The sequence below is a fragment of the Homo sapiens genome, chromosome 4, assembly GCF_000001405.40.
Source record: "Homo sapiens chromosome 4, GRCh38.p14 Primary Assembly".
Taxonomy (NCBI): domain Eukaryota; kingdom Metazoa; phylum Chordata; class Mammalia; order Primates; family Hominidae; genus Homo; species Homo sapiens.
Window position 1 is genome coordinate 55,521,401 of NC_000004.12, and position 21,756 is coordinate 55,543,156.

Sequence of the window (21,756 nt, forward strand, 5' to 3'; positions counted from 1 at the left end):
AGAGACGGGGTTTCACCGTGTTAGTCACACCGGTCTTGAACTCCTGACCTAAGGTGATCCACCTGCCTTGGCCTCCCAAAGTGCTGGGACTGCAGGCGTGCGTCAACACACCTGGCTCAAATTACTATGTTTTATAGAGCTCACCTTATAGATTTTAGATGTGTGCTGCTACTCTCAAAATTCTGATTCTTGCTATGGTTATACCATACCACGGTGGTAACACCCCATGAATTATTGGCCTTCACAAATATGCAAAGGAAAGAAATGGGCCTCAGACTCAGACATACTTGAGCAAATTATTCACTTTGCTTGAATTTCAGTTTCCTCACCTCTGAATTCTCTCTAAATACATCTATGGATGCTATGCAATTTTTACTAATATCTTATATTGATTTGTGTCCATATGGTATGCATATATGAGTGTGTATGTAACTAGACAAACTGATCTTAGTATTTATGTGGAAGAGCAAAAGGCTAAGAATAGCTACAATAATTTGAAGAAGAAAATGGAGAGAGCAGTCCTACAAATAATCAAGCCTTATAATATGGGTCTTTCAAAACAGAGATAGAGAGATCACAAATAGAGTCATATGTATATTAAAAAGGCAGCATTATAAACAAAGAGGGAAAGAATGGACTATCCATTAATGGTAGAGACAACAGGTACCCAAATAGGGCAAAAAGTTATACCGGATTTCTTTCTTACCACACGTAAACATAAATTCCAAGTGCTTCAGACCCAAATATGAAGGCAAAACATATCAATTTTTAGAAGAAAACACACAATACCTTCATATCTATAGAGGAGAAAATAACTTTCTTAAACTATCATAAACCTTAAAGGAAAACAAGCCAAGCACAAACTTTAAAGAAAAAAAATAATATATTTGGCTTCATTCTAATTCAAATCTGAAGTCTAATTTAATTTAAATTTTTAATTTTTCTAATTACCAAAATATCCCATAAACAAATGAAAAGACAAACCACGGACTGAGAAAATATACCACAGAAGATTAGTATCCAAAGTTCGTAACAAGATACTACATATCAGTAAGAAAAAAAGATAAACAAAAGATGCCAACCAGTAATAAACTGTTTTTTTTTAAAAAAAAAAGAAGCATAAAGAACGAATAAACATAAGAAAACATGCTAAACTTTATGAACAGAATAAGTAGTTGGAAAAATAGGTAACTTAAACAGGTATCCTACCCCTTAAGGAACAGTAAGATTAACAGCCATATATTCTTAACCTAGATTCATCAACTGTTAACAATTTGCCACATCTATACTCTTTCCACCATATATATGTATGTATTTGTAAATGCACACTTTCCCTCTCTCATATATATGTATGCATCTCCATATACAACATACAAACATGCACATGTACACACACAAATACACACACTCATTTACTTCTGAACCATATAAAATGACTAACTCTAAGCTTGAAAGCAAGGAAGCTATCAAAACCTAATATGGTCATATAAAAAAGATTTAGAAGCAAATCTGAAGGGGCTCCTACTGGCCAGAGACAGGCCAGGTTGAATAAAAAGAAATTGTGAGGCACAGTAACATATAATGTGTATTGTTTAGCATAAGACAAACGAACAGGCTGGGCGCAGTGGCTCATGCCTGTAATCCCAGCACTTTGGGAGATGGAGGCGGGCGGATCGCGAGGTCAGGAGATCGAGACCATCCTGGCTAACACGGTGAAACCCCGTCTCTACTAAAAATTAAAAAAAAAAAATTAGCTAGGCATGGTGGTGGGCACCTGTAGTCCCAGCTACTTGGGAGGCTGAGGCAGGAGAATGGCATGAATCTGGGAGGCGGAGCTTGCAGTGAGCGAGATGGCACCACTGTACTCCAGCCTGGGAGACAGACCCAGACTCTGTCAAAAACAAACAAACAAACAAAACCAGACAAACGGACAAATGTAGAACTCTCACTTGTGACCAAAGAGTAGCTAGAGTATCAAGTCAACCCTCAGGGTACAGAACAGTCATCACTATTTACACCTTCTTGGTCCAATGGACCCTTTATATTTTCAAGTCATCTTATGAATTATTTATACGAGAATAAAGGGATAATAAAAAAAATTGACACTGAAAAATTAAACATATCACAACCAAATTTTTATTCCATTTTTTGAGGCTTTGAAAGTGTATCTACATGACATGGGTAATGTCCTCTGAATGCAACTGGCTGATCATCCATGCACGAATCTGGAACATAATCATCCTGTACTGCTTCCAGGTTTCATATACATCTCTAATACCTCTCCAGATACATCTCCACATACATTTCAAATATATTTCTAATACTTCTCCAGATTTCTAATACATACCTCTAATTTCATATCAGCTTATCAATATTTCTACTCTTCTTGCAATTTCATCATAAAAAAAATTGAAGAAGTTTTTGAAACCTTTGATGGCTTATAATTTTATTGAAGAGTGGATACCATCTTTTTTTGCTCCAAAACTGTAAAACATTCTTGTTTTTAAGCATCAATTAAAATGAGCAATCCAACAACTTTTTTCTTTTTAAATAATCTATTTCCTTCCAGTCACCTTTGTTACATGTCTTTAGCATTACAAATTGTTATCCAGTAAATTTTGGCATGCAGACACCATAAAAGACGTAAGAACACATCATTTTAGCAAAACAGGATGGTGTAAGGCTCATCAGAAAATATTCATACCCGGCCGGGCATAGCAGCTGATGTTTGTAATCCCAGTACTTTGGGAGGCTGAGGCGGGCGGATCACTTGAGGCCAGGAGTTTGAAGACCAGCCTGGCCAACACAGCAAAACCCGTCTCTACTAAAAATACACACACACACAAAAAAAATTAGCTGAGCATGGTGGCACCAGCCTGTAATCCCAGCTACTCAGGAGGCTGAGGCAGAATTGCTTGAGCCTGGGAGGCTGAGATTGCAGTGAGCGGAGATCACACCACTGCACTCCAGCCTGGGCAACAGAGTGAGACTCTGTCTCAAAAAAACAAAAACAAAAACAAAAAAAAAGAAAAAAGAAAATATTAATACCTATTAAATGACTGACTAGACAAGAATAACTATATTTATATTTTTACACTCAGAAATATAATTCTTCATGCATTGATTTCTGAGTTTGAGAAAATTCACCTATTATATGAATAAGTGCAGCCTGAGATTTTGCTTAATTCATTTGACCTAGTTTTACTTTTTTATTTTAAATTATACCTACTACTTACATTTGTGGTTCACATAAAATTTCTATTGGACAATGATGGTCCAGTGATTCACATGAAATTTCTATTGAATAAAGCCTGAGGTGCATTTATTTTTCTTTTTGCATTTATGTGCTGGTTTGTCAAAGAGATGTGAAACATCTTTCTGTAATTTTTCCTCTTTGCCATAATGAGCAGAAATGAAAATTTCTAAATTCTCAACTGTTTCTAATGAAAGCTGAAAGCGGCCTACAATGATGATATCTCCAGACTTATAACTTCCAGAAAGATGATGTAATACTTTGGGAAATGCAAAAATCTTAAAAAAAAAAATACAATAGTGACAATTTATTTCCATATTCTATCACTCTCCTAGGTGATTCCATCATTTTTCCATTTTCATATTATCTTTTAGGAGGGACAGAAATAATTGATGAGTAATTTGTTATGAATGAAATGAAACAAATCTTAGTAATGAAACAAGTCTTAGAATGATGAAATCACAATCCTTAAAGCTACAGGAATATAACCAATGAAAGATAGAATGAGTTTTATTCAGTTTTTAAAAAGAAAATTTTGGCTGTGCACAGTGGTTCATGTCTGTAATCACAGCCCTTTGAAAGGACAACATGGGAGGATCACTTGAGGTTGGGAGTTCGAGACCAGCTTAGGCCACATACCCTGTTCTTTAGAAAAAATTTTTAAAAAGAAAAGCAGCCAGACATGGTGGCACACGCCTACAGTTCTAGCTACTCAGAAGTCTGAGGCAAGAAGATCACGTGAGCCCAGGAATTGGTAATTATGATAAGCTATGATCACACCACTGCACTCCAGCCTGGGTAACAGAGCAAGACCTTGTCTCTAAAAAAATAAAATAAAATAAATGAATAATAAACATTTTTTTTTTGAGACAGAGTTTCACTCTTGTTGCCCAGGCTGGAGTGCAATGGCACAATCTTGGCTCACTGCAACCTCCGCCTCTCGAGTAGCTGATTACAGGTGTCCACCACCATGCCCAGCTAATTTTTTGTATTTTTAGTAGACACGGGGTTTCACCATGTTGGCCAGGCTGGTCTCGAACTCTTGGCCTAAAGTGATCCACCCGCCTCGGCCTCCCAAAGTGCTGGAATTACAAGCATGAGCCACCACACCTGGCCAAATAAAAAAATTTTTTAAAGTATATGTTACCTTTCTACTTTCAAAGGCCTTTAAGAAAAAATGAGTCAAGAAATTATTAGTCCTTCCATAGTTAGAACTGCTCAAAAAAAAAAAAAAAAATTCCAGTGTGTACTGATGGTATGCCAAGGGTTAATACGAAAATGTTTAACTATAGGTTGAGTATCCCTAATACAAAAATCCAGAATCTGAAATGCTCCAAAATATGAAACTTTTTGAGCAATGACATGACACTCAAAGGAGCATTTCAGATTTCAGATTTTCGGGATACTCAACTGAAAAGTATACTATAAATATTCCACAATCTGAAAAAATACGAAATCCGAAACGCTTCTAATCCCAAGCATTTCAGATAAGAGATATTCAACCTGTAACAGGAAATTTACAAAGCATTTTCCTTGACTGGCCTGTCAAACTGTATTTCAAGGTAGGCAAAGGGACCAAAGTACTGAAAGCTACTCCTTTAAAGAAAAATTTCAACTAAGAAGAACAAAAGAAATGACATAAATAGGCAAAAATCATCAATCCTAAAAACCCCATCAGGAGAAAAAGTAATGGTAAATTTCACAATGGATCATATTGTCACCAACTGAATTCACTGATCAATCTTAACATCTTTAACACTGGGACAACCACATATCATGATATAACATGTAGTAATAGTACTACTTACAGAATATTCTTGTTAAGAGTCAAACTAGAATCTATGAACCTTTAGATCATACATTCTCAACAGTAGCAATGTCACATTCAAGAAGGCAAAGAAATCTTAAACAGTAAATTAAGACAGTTTCTCATCCTCCAAATCATACTACTGTGTCTGCCCCCAGGTCTGGGGAAAAGGTGCAGTGTAGACAGTAAGGAAAAAAAAAGCTCTAGGCCGGGCACGGTGGCTCACGCCTGTAATCCCAGCACTTTGGGAGGTCGAGGTGGTCAGTTCACGAGGTCAGGAGATCCAGACCATCCTGGCTAACACGGTGAAACCCTGTCTCTACTAAAAATACAAAAATTAGCCGGGCAAAGTGGCAGGCACCTGTAGTCCCAGCTACTCGGGAGGCTGAGGCAAGAGAATGGCATGAACCCGGGAGGCGGAGCTTGCAGTGAGCCGAGATCACACCACTGCACTCCAGCCCGGGTGACAGAGTGAGACTCCGTCTCAAAAAAAAAAAAAAAAGCTCTAAAAACTCCGTAATGAGGCAACAATTAAAAAAAAAAAGGTTAGAAACACTGCTTCACATCCAATTTCCAGTTACATGAATACAAGAAAGTAATAAGTAAAATGACATCAAAAGGAATAAGAAAATGCAGAATGTGAAACGTTATAAAGAAAAATTGACCCAGTTACTTCAACATGGAGGGTAAAAAGACTTTACTGCGGTAATCATATTTAGAAATATACTTTAAAATATTAACAGATAAATAATATGTGGAATATACTTCAAAATAGTATTAGAAGAGGGTAAGGAGATTAAGATATAGATGAAACGAGAGTTGTTGAGTAAATAAATCACTAAAAGTAGGTGATGGGTACATAGGAGTTCATTTTACTATTCTATATACTGTTGTATATGTTTAAAACATCCTGTAAAAACAAAAGCATGTTTGGGGCACATTTTGCTTTCTTAGGATATTAGAGAGAACAAAACTATACAACACATAGCTTGCCCATATATTTTCTATCAAAGGTGATCTACAAACTGATGTCATTCCTCTCCCAAATAATACCTTTTTTAAAAAAAGATTCAATCATTATATAGGCATGACTGAAAATGAGAAAATAAAATAAAAATTTTAAAAGACTAAAAAAACATAACTGGGAGGTATGTACCTGATTCAAATCCTGATACAAATAAAGCAACAAAAAGGCATTTTTGAAAAAGCTGAATATGAACTAGGTGTTTTATGATATTAAGGAAGTATCGTTAATTTTGTTAGGTGTGGTAATGATACCGAGATTATGAAAGAAAATATCAGCTGGGTGTGGTGGCTCATACCTGTAATCCCAGCACTTTGGGAGGCCTAAGTGAGAGGATCAGTTGAGGCCAGGAAATGGAGAACAGCCTTGGCAACATAGCGAGATCTCATCTCTACCATAAAATTTAAAAAATTAGCTGGGCATAGTGGCACATGCCTATTATCTCAGTACTTTTGGAAGACCACTTTAGCCTAGGAGTTCAAGGCTGCAGTGAGCTATAATTGGGCTACTGCACTTCAGCCTGAGCAACACAGCAAGACCCTGTCTCTCAAAAAAAAAAAAAAATCCTATGTTTTAAAATAAATATATTGAGGCCAAGGGCAGTGGCTAACGCCTGTAATCCCAGCACTTTGGGAGGCTGAGGTGGGTGGTCAGGAGTTCAAGACCAGCCTGACCAATAGAGTGAAACTCCATCTCTACTAAAAATACAAAATTAGCCAGGCCTGGTGGTGCATGCCTGTAATCCCAGCTACTTGGGAGGCTGAGGCAGGAGAATCACTTGAACCCAGGAGGCAGAGGTTGCAGTGAGCCGAGATCATGCCATTGCTCTCCAGCCTGGGAAACAAGAGCAGAACTCCACCTCAAAAAAAAAAAAATTAATTAATTAAATATATTGAAGTATTTAAGGGTGAAGTGACTATTTCCTTCATCCCCCCCTCACTGCCTTATTTTAAAGAAACCTGGGGAGTGAATGAGATGATGATGGTGATAAACACTCATGTTTGCCGCCCCTCCATGCAGAAAGTCTGTGCAGATGAGCACATAAAAACAAACAAAAAAGAATAAATCTATAAGACAATGAAAAGAACAGAGAGAAAGTGTTTACAATAGATTTCTGGAGAACAGAAAGCAGACCCAAGTGTGTTAAGTTTAAACAGAACTAAGCGAAGCACAGCCCAAAATCTACACATGAAAGGACTACAGTGGAGGTCTAAGTCAATCTTTCAGAGATTCTACGCTCCCCTCAATGACTAAGCAAGGGCCAGTGTCACCTGTAGGTACAAAAAGTGAAATACTCTTTTTTTCCTAAAGACAGTTAACAAACTGAACAGAAAGAAACTGGGTCTTCTGGTGTCAATGTCAGTATCTGTAGAGCCCATTTCTATATGGCAATTGGAAAGCTCCGAAGCCTAAAAACAGGTTCCCTGATCTTTTGCCCTAAACCTAACTTGCCAGCAAACAAGAGATGCTCCAACTATGTACAAAGAGTTGCCAGTCTTCTCATTCCAAGATGGCAATTAGAAAACAAGTCCATGACTACAATCCAGGAAACCAACAGCAGTACCTAATATAATCAAGATGGTCCTTTAGCAAGAACCATGAACTAACAATAAGGATCCCCAGATATACAAGAAGAAACACCACCTAGAAAAAGACCAAGATAAAGATATTATCTATTTTTTTAGTTTTTAAAAGAGACAGTCTTACTTTGTTGCCCAGGCAGGAGTGCAGTGACACAATCATAGCTCACTACAGCCTCGAACTCCTGAGCTCAAGTGATCTTCCTGCCTCAGCCTCCCAAGTAGCTAGGACTATAGACATGCATGACCATGCTCAACTAATATTTTAATTTTCTTGTAGAGATGGGGTCTCATTATGTTGCCTAGGCTAGTCTCAAACTCCTAGCTTCAAGCAATCCTCCCACCTTAGCCTCCCAAAGTACTGTTATTAAAGGCATGAGCCACTATGTCCCACCCAGACCAAGACAAATAAATAGATCAAACTGACTTCAAAAAAATCATAGTTTATTCAGGACATAGAAGAAATCTCAAAATAGAACAAAGTATTCTCAAAGGACTACTGAAGATACCGCATTCAATTAAACAAAAATAGGTATATTTAACAAATAATAATACAAGAGTCCACTATGCCAAGAACTGTTACAAATGCTTAATAAATATGAACTCCTTTACTCACAAGGTAGGTATTATTATCCTCATTTTGTAGACTAGAAACTGAGGACAAAGAGATTAATCATTTGCCCATTGTCATGGTTTTGAAGTTGTGGAGCTGTGATCTAAACCCACACAGTCAGGAAGTCTGGTTCCATTGTCAATGCTTTTAGCTACTATCCTGTGTTGTCTCTTGAAATGATACCAGCAGAAAATAAGCAAAAGCTACTCATTAACAATTTATAAACATTCGCAGGTCAGAAACATACAATTGAAAACATCTGTCAAAATACAGAATAAAAAAGACAGAAAACTTGAGAAAAGAGATAAAGAAATGAGGATCAATCAAGAAAGCCAATATTCTGCTAGTAAGTATCCCAAAATGGGCAAACATAGACTAAGAAATATTACCAAGGAAATAATAAAAGAACATTTTCCATAACTGAAGGGAGACACTTGCATTTCAACTGAAAGGACCTACTGAGTCCAGCAAAGAATAACAAAAACAATTCATATCTAAACACATAATTATAAAATTCCATAACTACGAAGGACAAAGATAAGATACTAAAGCTTATCTTTGTGAGCGAGGGAAAGGATCATTTAGAAAATAACAAGACAGAATAGCATCAGACATCTTACCGTCTTGATGCTCAACAGAATTGAGCAAAAACCTCTAAGTTGTAAGAGAGAATTAATTTGAATTTAAATTTCTACACCCAGCCAAACTATCAAGCAATTATGACCCAGGCCAAAGCTATTTTCAAACATGCAAGAATTCACAATATTTACATTGTAAGTACTCTGTATACTGGAGTTAATTTAAAATACATTCAAAGCAGGATGCAGTGGCTCATGCATATAATCCCAGCACTTTGGGAGGCCGAGGAGGGTGGATCACTTGAGATAAGGTGTTTAAGACCAACCTGGCTAACATGGTGAAACCCTGTCTCTATTAAAAATACAAAAATTAGCAAGGCATGGTGGCAAACGCCTGTAATCCCATCTACTGCGGAGGTTGAAGCAGAAGAATCAGCTGAACCCAGGAGGTGGAGGTTGCAGTGAGCCGAGATTGTGCCCCTGCACTCCAGCCTGGGAAAAAGAGCAAGACTCCATCGCAAAAAAAAAAAAAAAAAGAGTAAATACATTCCAGCTAAAAAAGGAAGAATGCTATAAAAGAGGAAGATGTCGCATCTAAGAAACAGTAAATCTAACCAGAAATGCAGACACGGAATAGCTCAGAATGACATATACACAGCAGCTTCCAACCTGTCAAGACTGAAGCAGGAAGTAGGAGGGCTCTAAGAGTGATATCTCCAGGAAAAGGCATTCCACCTAACAGTTAATAGATATTATGATCCAAGCAGGAAAAACATCTGAGAATATGATAAAGGTATATATTTCTCTAAAGAAAAAAAGACAATTACAAACTGTGGGAGGAAAAGATGAACAAAAAGTCATCTAGAATATAAAGCAATCTAGCGGCATGATTTCGAAAAAATGATGAAGTACAAGAAGAAATAAGTAAATATTTTATTTCTTGAGTTCCACTAGCATTATGACTTTAGACCCATAGAAAAAAAAAATAGCCCCAGCACTATAATTAAGTAAAGTGTAAGTGAGCTAAATCCTCATCTTTCTTAGCAGTGAGTCAATAGATATAATTTGAAGTTAGTAAATCAAGAAATAAAAGCAGATCTCAACAACAACAACAAAAGCCTAGGAGGCTTTACTGGAGAATTCTATCAATCATTTAAAAGAATTAACCAGGCCAGGCGTGGTGGCTCATATCTGTAATCCCAGCATTTTGGGAGGCCGAGAAGGGTGGATCACAAGGTCAAGAGATCGAGACCATCCTGGCCAACATGGTGAAACCCCGTCTCTACGAAAACTACATCAATTAGCTGGGCGTGGTGGTATGCGCCTATAGTCCCAGCTACTCTGGAAGCTGAGGCAGGAGAATCGCTTGAACCCAGGAGGCAGAGGTTGTAGTGAGTCGAGATCACGCCACTGTATTCCAGCCTGGCGACAGAGCAAGACTTCGTCTCAAAAAAAAAAAAAAAAAAAAAAAAAAAAGGAATTAACCCAATCCTCCTCAAACTCTTCCAAAGAACTAAAATGGGAGAGAACATTTCCAAACTCATTCTAAAAAGCCGCCATTACCCTGATATAAAAACCAGACAAAGATACCACAAGAAAAGAAAACCACGGTAATAACCATAATGAATAGTGATTTTTTAAATGTTAAAAAAAACAAAAACAAAAACAAAAAAAACCCCAGCAAACCAAATTCAACAGCACATTAAAAGGATTATATACCATGACCAAGTGGGATTTATACCAGAAATTCAAGGATGGTTCACAATACAAAAATCAATTAGGGTAATATACCACATTAATAAAATGAAGCACAAAAACCACATGATTCCAATTGACGAACAAATGCATTTGACAAAATTCAACACCCTTCCATGATAAAAACACTCAATAAATGAAGAATAGAAGGAAACTACCTCGACATAATAAACACCATATATGAATATCCCACAGCTAACATCCTATTCAATGGTAAAAGACTGAACACTTCTCCTAGGATTAGGAGCAAGTCGAGGATGCCCACTCTCATCACTTCTATTCAACACAGTACCAGAAGTCCTAGATAGAGCAATTAGGCAAGAAGAATAAATAGAAGGCACTCAAATAAGAAAGAAAATTATCTCTGTATACAGATGACATGATTTATATGCAGAAAGCCCTAAAGAAGAATCCACAAAAAAACTGTTAGTACTAATACATGATTTCAGCAAAGTTTCAGGATCCGAAATCAACACACAAAAATCAGTTGCATTTCTATACACCAAAAATGACCAACTGGAAAGGAAAATTTAAAAAAAAAAATCCCAATTTACTATAGTATCAAAAGAGGAAAGGCAAACCATGGTGGCTCAAACCTGTAATCCTAGCACTTTGGGAGGCCAAGGTGGGAGAACTGCTTGAAGCCAGGAATTTGAGACCTTATCTCTCTATAAAAATACCAAAAAATTAGCCGAGCGTGGAAGCATATACTTTTAGTCCCAGCTTCTTGGGAGGCTGAGGTAGGAGGATCATTTGAGCCCAGGAGTTCAAGGTCACAGTGAGCCATGATTGTGCCACTGCACTCCAGCCTAGGTGACAGAGACCCTATCTCTTTAAACAAAGAAAAGGGGTCGGGTCGGGGGGGTAGTGTGGATAAAAATACTAGGAATAAACTTAACCAAGGAGATAAAAGACTTGTACTCTGAAAACTACAAAACATCGCTAAAAGAAATCAAAGAGAGAATACAAATAAATGGAAAAACATTCCGTGTTTTTAAACTGAAAGAGTTAATACTGTTAAAATGTCCATACTACCTAAAGCAATCTATAGATTCAATGTAATCCCTGTCAAATTCTCAATGACATTTTTTTTGCAGAAATAGAAACAAAACCATCCTAAAATTCATACAGAATCTCAAGGGACCCCCAAGTAGCCAAACCAGTCTTGAAAAACCACCAAAAATTTGGAGGCCTCATACTTTCTTATTTCAAAACACACTACAAAGCAACAGTAATCAAGACAGTGTGGTACTGACATAAATACAGAGCTACAGACCAATGGAACAGAACAGAAATAAACGCTCGCACATGCCACCAAATGACTTGCGACAAGGGTGCCAAGACTACCCAATGGAGAAAAAACAGTCTCTACAACAAACAGTGTTGGGAAAACTGAATATCCACATGCCAAAGAATGAAGCCAAAATATGATATTACTAATTTATTTTATGATGACCTAAAAGTTTTGATTTCCGAATATTTTTTCAACACTTTTTAATTAAGTATTTTAGATACATATTAGAATATTTTTCTGCCTAGAAAGTAATTCAAACCATATCACTGACTAAAGATTTTTGGGATTGTTTGTAAATCCGTGAAAAAGTGCTTAAGGCCAGGCATGGTGGCTCGTGCCTGTAATCTCAGCACTTTGGGAGGCCAAGGCAGGTGGATCACCTGAGGTCAAGAGTTTGAGACCAGCTTGGCCAACATGGTGAAATCCCATCTCTACTAATAGCACAAAAATTAGCCAGGCATGGTGGCACACGCCTGTAATCCCAGCTACTCGGGAGGCTGAGGCAGGAGAACAGCTTGAACCTGGGAGGCAGAGGTTGCAGTAATCCAAGATCATGCCACTACACTCCAGCCTGGGCAACAGAGTGAGACTCCATCTCAAAAAAATAAAACAAAAACAAAGTGCTTGTTTAAGATGCAGGAGAGTGGACACTTGTTTACTAAATTCAAGACACACTACAAAACTTTTGCTTTTCAGTAAACTCTCGATGTTTTCCTTTTTGCCTGTGTCTTAAAACATTAATGTATAAAGAACCCAATAGTAATAAAATGTTTTGTACATTTGTTTGCCATTTAATCTAGCTTGTACTACCCTATGATTAACAGCACTGAAGTAATTAATAATTACAGTTGTAATATGCAGCGAGTCAAGTGGAGCATCAGTGCAACAATACCAAACTTGAAACGAGTGCTTATTCTACTCTCAACTATCACCAAGCCAATCCTCCTCAAACTCTTCCAAAGAACTAAATGTGAGAGAACATTTCCAAACTCATTCTAAAAGGCCAGCATTACCCTGATATCAAAATCAGACAAAGATACCACAAAAAAAGAAAGCTACAGCAATAAACCTAATGAATACTGATTTTTTTACCCTTAAAAAAATACTAGCAAACCAAATTCAACAGCACACAGTCTATGTGCTGTTGTACTGCAGAATCTAATACTCCTGGGTATTTTTGTTATAGCAGCCAAAACTAAGATATCCATTCTATCCTCACATGCTAATAGACTCTAATCCCCTACACCTTGATTTGGTTTTCTCTACAATACAAATATCCATCTAGCATATATTTAACTCACTAGTTTCTCATCTGGTTTCCTCAGTTAGAACATAAGCTCCCTGAAGGCAGGGCTTTGTTCCCCAGCAGACAGAATAGTAGCTGGCACAGAACAGAATGCTCAATAAATACTTGCTGAATGAACAAGATGAAGACCACCATTAAAGGTATACTAAAAGACTTCAAAGCACTACTGAGAAAAATGAAAGGCCTAAATGAATGGAGAGGTATACTGTGTTCAAGGATCAAAGGACTCAATGTTGCTATCAGTTTTCTTTAAATTAATCTATAGAGTAAATACAACCCTAAACAAAATCTCAGCAGCCTTTTCTGTATAAAGTGAGAATTTTTTTTTTTTTTTTTTTGAGACAGTCTTGCTCTGTCATCCAAGCTGAGTCCAGCAGCACAGTCAATGGCTCACTGCAACCTCAACCTCCTGGGCTCAAGCAATCCTCCCATCTCAGCCTCCTGAGTAGGTGGGATCACAAGTGCATGCCACCATGTCTGGCTAATTTTTTTCTATTTTTTTGGAGAGCCAAAGGCCTCGCTATATTGCCACTACACTCCAACCTGGTCAATACAGAAAGACCTCTTTATCAGTATAAAAAAAAATTTTTTTGCTTCTTGATTATGGTGATTACAAGAATGTTTAGGTTTGTCAAAACTCAAGCTGCATACTTAAATTGGGCAGATTTTAACATATATACATTATACCCCAATAAAAATCAATTTTAAAAAATATACATCAAAAACTGAAACCCAACAACAAAATACCTAAAGAACACTACATAAAACAGCTCATAAATATTGAGTATTCTGCATACCTTTAAAAAATGACAGGCGCCAGCTAGAGTGGCTCATGCCTGTAATCCTAATAATTTGGAAGGTCAAAGCAGGAGGATCACTTGAGCCCAGGAGTTCAAGACAAGCCTGGGCAACAAAGTCACATCCTATCTCTGCAAAAATAAATGACAATAATAATAATAATAGGAAATTGTCTGCACTTAGGTAAAATGAACTAGTTTGAAGCAGGCCAATATTCTTGCTAAGAACAACTTAAAAAGCTAAATAAATTATAAAAATCATATTTTTAAAGTTAGTGAGGAGCTGTGGAAGCATGGGAAAGAAGGTCTAAAATTCCAGTGATGGGAGAATCTTTTTTTTTTTTTTTTTTTGAGATGGAGTCTTGTTGCTCTGTCACCCAGGCTGGAGTGCAGTGGCACAATCTTGGCTCACTGCAACCTCCACCTCAGAGATGGGGAGAATATTTTAAAGGTATTTAGATGACCAGTATCTGTCTTTTCCCTGGGAGTATTTCCTAATTATTGCTTGGGTTAGAGGCTGAAAATTGAGGCCTGACCTGTGTAAAATATTGTTGCTGAGGAACACAGAAGCCAGGACAGCTTTTGGTGTTCACACAGGGCTGGAATAACAACACTAGGAGACTAATTCTCCTAAAAAGTTTCACGCAAGGACCTCAAGCTTAAAGGTGGTATCTCCCCTCAGCATACTTGCTGAATTTTAAAACCGTGCAGGGTAAAAGGCTACAAAGTCAACTAAAAAACTTTGAAAAGCAAAGTGAAATTTCCTACCTTTGGCATTGCTAAAGGGACAAGACCAATAGGCTTTGAAATGAATGCCTTAGAAGACAACATCTGAAAAAACAAGGAAAAATAAGGATAGCAAACTATTAAAATAGCAACCCAGCCTCCACATAATTTAAGATGATGGGCTCCTGATATGGGTTGGATGCTTGTCCCCTCCAAATCTCATGATGAAATGTAAATGTAATTCCCAATGTTGGAAGTTGGGCCCAGTAGGAGGCAACTGGATCATGGGGGCAGATCCCTCATGAATGGTTTAGTACCATCTCCTCGGTAATAAGTGAGTTCACACAAGATCTGGTTGTTGAAAAGTCTGGGACCTGCCCCACCTTGCTCTCTTGCTCCCACTCTTGCCTTGTCATGCACCTGCTCTCCCTTCACTTTCAGCCATGACTAGAAACTTACTAAGCCTCACTATAAGCAGATGCCGGCACCATGCTTCCTATACACTTTGGAGAACCGTAAGCCAATTAAGCTTCTTTTCTTTATAAATTACCCAGTCTCACGTATTCTTTTATAGTAATGCAAACAGACTAATACAGCTCCCTAGCCTATCTGCATAGAAAATGAACTTCCCCTTCCCCCACCCCTCTCCCAACCCGGCAAAATGTACCATTACCTGGTAATGCTTACTTAAGTTTTTTACTACACAATGCCTGGCATTCAATAAAAAATTATGAGACATAAACAAAACAATCAACAGACTTGACCTAACTGACATTTGTAAAACACTCCACCTAACAACAAAACACACATTCTTTTCAACTGCACATGAAGAACACTTACAATGATAGAATATATTCTAGGCCATAAAATAAATCCGAATAAATTTAAAATTATCTCATTACAATGGAATTAAATTAAAAATAACAATGATCTCTGGAAAATCCTCAAATATTTGAAAACTATATAACACACTTATAAATAAACTATAGACCCAGTAAGACATCAGGAAAGAAATTATAAAGTACTCTGAATGGAATGAAAATGGAAACATATCAAAAACTGGAAACGGCCAGGAGTGGAGGCTCACATCTGTATCCCAGCACTCCAGGAGGCCAAGGAAAGAGGATTGCTTGAACTGAGTTCAAGACCAACATGGGCAACACAGTGACATCCTTGTCTTCAGAAAAAATTGTAATAAACTCTGGCCAGGTGTGGTGGCTTACACCTGTAATCCTAGCACTTTGGGAGGCTGAGGCAAGTGGATTGCCTGAGCTCAGGAGTTGACGACCAGCCTGGGCAACATAGTGAAACCCTATCTCTACAAAAAATACAAAAATTAGCCAGGCATGATGGCACGCGCCTGTAATCCCAGCACTTAATAGACTCTGGTGCGAGGATCTCTTGAGCCTGAGACGTCGACACTGTGGTGACCCCGTGATTGGGCCACTGCACTAAAGCCTAGGCAACGGAGTGAGACCCAGTCTCAAAAAAATAAAAATAAAAATAAAAAATTAGCCAGGCATGGTGGCACATGCCTGCAGTCCCAGCTACTCAGGAGGCTGAGGTGGGAGGATCACTTGAGCCTGAGAGGTCAAGGCTGCAATGGGCCATGATCACGATACTGTACTGCCTGAGCAGTAGTGAGACCTTGTCTCAAAAAACAAATAAATAAATTATAAACAATTAAAGGGAAGTTTATAGCATGCTTACATTAGAAAAGAAAAAAGGTCACAAATCAATGACCTCAGCTTCTATCTTAAGAAACCAGAAAAAGAAAACAAATTAAACCCAAAAGTAAGCTGAGGAAAGGAAATAAAGACCAGGGCGGAAATAAGAAAACCACAGGCAGTCAATTAAACTAAAAGTTAACTTTTTAAGAACCTCAATAAAATTAATAAACTTCTAGCCAGACTAATCAGGGAAAAGGGGAGCAGAGACAAATTACTAGTATTCGGAATGATACTAAATCTCTACAGGTTATACAGATATTAGACTCATTACACTTTCTACAGATATTAAAAGAACAATAATAGAGTATTATAAGCAACTTTTTGCAATAAATGCAACAAGTTAAATGAAATGGGTAAGTTCCTTCGAAAACTTATCAGGCATGTGAAGAGACGGAACAATACAACCATATGACCAATAACCAACAGAAAAACAAACAAGATAAACAGACCAATAGATGATGCCGATATTGGAAAAGACAAGCATTTAAATAACTATAATTAGTATGTTCAAGAGAACTGGAGTCTATTACAAGTCTATAAAACAACATCAAAGGAATACTCTAGAACTCAAAACCACAATGTAAAATTAAGAACACAAAAGATTATTTTGACAAAAAGAGAAGATAGTTTTGGCATACTGGAAGGCAGGTCGATAGAAAATATCCAAACAGAGAAAAAAATTTTTTTCAACATGTGGAACATGATAATTAAGTTTAATATATGTGTAATTAGGATCCAAAAAGAAAAAAGGGGCAGAATATATGAAAAGGTGGTAACAGAACTTTCCAAAACTAAAAGGCATCCAGCTAGATTCAAAAAACTCTATAAACATAAAGCAACAAAGAAAACCACATCTGAACACATCAAAGTGCTTTAAAAGTAACACAGAGAGTCTTAAAATTAGCCAAGGAAAAATAAAAGACACATTATCCTCAGCAAGAATATAGCTAATACATTGCCTTCAATAAGACTGGTAGCTGACTTCAACAAAAAGAAAGGAAGACAGAAAGCAACCAAACATTCTTAATGTGTTGAAAGAAAATAACTACCAACTTAGAACTTAATAGCCAGTGAAAACACACTTCAGGCCAGCCACAGTGGCTCATGCCTGTAATCCTAGCACTTTGGGAGGCCAAGGTGGGCAGATCACTTGAGGCCATGAGTTTGGAGACCTGCGTGGCCAACATGGCAAAATCCTATCTCTACTAAAAATACAAAAAATTTAGCTGGGTATGGTAGCACATGCCTGTAATCCCAGCTACTCAGGAGGCTGTGGCATGAGAATCATTTGAACCCAGGAGGCAGAAGCTGCAGTGAGCTCAGATCACGCCACTGCACTCCAGCCTAAGCAACAGAACGAGACTGTCTCAAAAAAACAACAACAACAACAACAAAAAAAACACCAAAAACCACTTCAAAAAAGGTGAAACTGCCGTGCATGGTGGCTCACACCTATACCCAGCACTTTGGGAGGCCAAGGTGGGGGGATCTCTTAAGCCCAGGAGTTCAAGAACAGCCGGGGCAACATGACAAGACCCCGCCTATACAAAAAATTTAAAAATTAGCTGGGCATGGTGGCATGTGCCTGTGGTTCCAGCTACTGAGGAGGCTGAGGTGAAGGATTGCCTGAGCCCAAAAGGTTGAGGCTACAGTGAGCCATGTTCACACCACTACACTCCAGCCTGGGTGCCAGAGTGAGACCTTGTCTCAAAAAAAAAAAAAAAAAAAAAAAAAAAAGGTGAAATTGAGATATTTTCAGAGAAACAAAAATAGAAAAAATCACTGATACTAGGTAGGCCAGTATCAAAATGCATGATATAGGGAAGTGACAGTATTATTATCCTAAAAATTGAAAACAACTTCAATGTCCAACAGAAGATTGATAAGTAAATTATTACACAGAGATGAGAATGTTACATACCTACTAAAAATAATCACATAGCAGAAAAATACTGACATGAAAATATGTTGATGATTCACTGTTAACTGAACAGCTTGCACTGCAGTGGACTACATTAGGAGCCCATAACATCATATAAGTATACATATACTTATGTAATGGCTCAACAAAATGCAGGAAGCAGATAGATAATCAAGAAGATTAACAACAGCACTTTCGGTGGTATGATCTCCAATGATATTAATTTTTTTTTTTTTTTTTTGAGACTGAGTCTTGATCTGTCGCACAGGCTGGAGTGCAATGGCGTGATCTCTGCTCACTGCAACCTCTGCCTCCTGGGTTCAAGCAATTCTCCTGCCTTAGCCTCCCAAGTAGCTGGGATTACAGGCACCCGCCACCATGCCCGGCTAATTTTTGTACTTTTAGTAGAGACAGGGTTTCACCATGTTGGCCAGGCTGGTCTCAAACTCCTGACCTCAAGTGATCCACCCACCTCAGCCTCCGAAAGTGCTGGGATTACAGGTGTGAGCCACTGTGCCCTGCCTAAAATGTAATCTATGCTTTCTTACTGTTTCCCACATTAGGGATGTGCTATTTTTTAATTGGGGGCAAGAGAGGAGGGGAGAGGAGGGGAGGGGAGGGGAGGGGGGAATGGAGAAAGGCAACTCTTTACATTAAACCATATTTTAATACAAATGATAAGTTCTTAGCTAGGCATATGGTCTAACCTTTATTGGTATATCCCCCATGTGTGCTTTTTAATTTTTTTTTGATACCAAAACCTGCCAACATGAATCAACCTGTACTTTCATTTTCCACTATTTGGACCTTGAGAGCTTGCTCGAAGGTTCTAGCAGGGGAGCGCAGCTGCTCGTATACCCTTGACCCAAGACCAGTCCTCCTCTATTTGGGATGGTTGTCCTCTTCAACCAAGCACGCAGCTTCAGCTTCAGGAGGGACGCACGTGGAGTGGAGAGGGAGGAAGGGGACACCTGCCGAGCCAGCCAGATGAGCTGAATCAACCCTGGGGATCAATGGGGTAACATGTCACAGCCAGATAGCCCTCACATTCAATTTTCCACTATTTGGGATGAGAATTAAAAATGTTAAGTACCTGAATGTGACCTCTTTGAAAAAGAAACTTAATCGTCGTCATTATTAATGTAAAAAATGAAAATGTTTCTGAAAAATGAAAAGCAAATTATATCCGAAACAGCATACTTTAAAAGACAAAGTAATTCATAAAATTTCATTTTTCACAAGTGATTTCTGTAGACTTCTAAGACTTAAAATTAACAGAATTACATCTCTGTGAAATATCCAACTAAAGTAATAACTCAGAGTTGAGGCTATAAGAGTAAGTTTAAATAATTCAACATTTGCATAATCAAAAAAATGGAAAAAAACAGGAATCTCGGTATCCACCTGTTTCACAGAAGTTACACCTAATAGGGCTTTTAATAAATGGTTGTAAAGCAACCTGTAAATATAAATGCCATTATGTAATTATAGTCAATTAGTAACAATTATATTGCTCTGACACTTGAGTGTTCTATAAATAATTCATACAACTCCATCTAGAATTTTTGATCCAGAAAAGGAGAAAATGCAACAGCCATTGGTGTAATGCCTACAAGGAACTTAAAAAATATTTTACTTTATGCATCTGTAAAAAACTATAAGGAAACAGATAAACATCAAAAGGTTTAGCTACAGTGCAGAACTTTGACTTTTCCCCCACAATATTGTTTTATTAAAATAGTCACAGTAAATAAATGCTTTATTTGACACAGCACTAGAAGTAAAAATGTGTGGAAGAGGTGACATAATATATATGCTTCAAGATTGAGATAAGAGGAAACAATTTTCTTTTAATATTAACACTGGCTGACATATTTGATGGTAGACAACAGTTAACTGATAGGATTTAATTTCCTAATTTTTCTAGCAATCCTGAAATGATTAAAGAGGCTGTATTATAATTATCAAATAAAACATCAAATGGTTCTTTCCAGCGGGAAAGCTTAAAAAAAACTACTGAAATAGCTATCAGTCTCACAGATGCCTGCTAAAAGAACATAACAACTCCTTACGTTATCAAGAGCTAAGATCTAAGTTTCCTTTCTTAACTAATTAAAAGGTTAAGATACGTATTCTCCCTCAAAATCCCATGCCTCTCCCCCCACCAAAAAAAAAAAAAACAGCCAGAAATAGGCTCATCCTTACAAATGTTGTATGTAATTTTCTTATAAAATCTATCATTTTCCACCTTGTGTTATAATGTCTATGCTTTTCAGTTGGGCATGGTGGCTCATGCCTGTAATCCCAGCACTTTGGGAGGCCGAGGTGGGCGGATCACCTGAGGTCAGCAGTTTGAGACCAGCCCGGCCAACATGGAGAAACACCGTTGTCTACTAAAAATACAAAAATTAGCCGGGTGTGGTGGCAGATACCTGTAATCCCAGCTACTCTTGGAGGGCTAAGGCAGGAGAATCGCTTGAACCAAGGAGGCGGAGGTTGCAGTGAGCTGAGATCACGCCACTGCACTCCAGCCCGGGTGACAGAGAGAGACTCTGTCTCAAATAATAATAATAATAATAATAATAATAATAATAATATTATTATTATTATTATTATTAATGTCTATGCTGTTTTAACCATACTAGATTTCAAAACCACTGAAGGCAGGGTCAATTATACTGCATCTTTCTAGGTATCTCCCATAGTAAATAGTCTTGATCAATACTCTGAACTTTTTGCAAACTCCATCAGCTAAAAAGAATTAAGGTTTGGTAATTCTTTGTAACCTGGTTTAAAACAAACCCTCTGGAACTATTAGAGAACCAGAGGGATGGATGGAGGAGAGGGTAGTGCATATTAGTTGTTTGTTGTCAGTTAAGCAAAAGCCAAACCAAAGAGCCTCTTCTCTCCTTTTCCCTTCAAAAGCTAAATTTTATCCAAGTCAGTATCAGTGTCCCTTAGTTAAGGACAGTCTGCTTAGGTTCACTTCAGAGGAGCTCAAGAGGCTGGTGTAATCTACGAGGCTTTCGTAGGAGTCTGCAAGCAAGTACAGAAGGAAAAAAAATCAAAGTTTAACCCATACACTATCGATCAAGTCAAAAGCCAAAGAAAACCCTAAAACTTGGACTCTAAAGAGTCCTATAAAATTCATGGAATCCAAGCACCTTTTGGGTTTGTTTTGTTTAAAACAGGGTGTCACTCTGTCACCAAGGCTGAACTCCTGGGTTCAAGTGATCCCTCCACCTCAGCCTCCCAATTAGCTGAAACTACGGTGTGCACCACCCCATCTGGCTAATTTTTTTTAAAAAAATTTTGTAGCAAAGAGGTCTCACTATGTTGCCCAGGCTGGTCCTGAAATCCTGGGCTCAAGCC

General features: G+C 37.8%; 1 protein-coding gene and 1 pseudogene across 16 annotated transcripts in view; both read right to left on the minus strand.

Annotated features, from left to right (window-relative positions):
• The window catches only part of CLOCK (clock circadian regulator), a 119,007-nt gene that overhangs the window by 93,498 nt on the left and 3,753 nt on the right, over window positions 1-21,756 (minus strand). Inside the window, exon 2 of one of the 16 annotated variants that reach the window (XM_047416435.1) lies at window positions 14,776-14,838. The exons of the other annotated variants lie outside the window; for them this stretch is intronic. The gene's annotated coding sequence lies outside the window, so the exon portion shown is untranslated. The remainder of the gene's footprint in view (window positions 1-14,775; window positions 14,839-21,756) is intronic. 16 annotated transcript variants of the gene reach the window in all.
• RN7SKP30 (RN7SK pseudogene 30) lies at window positions 19,102-19,435 on the minus strand (annotated as a pseudogene).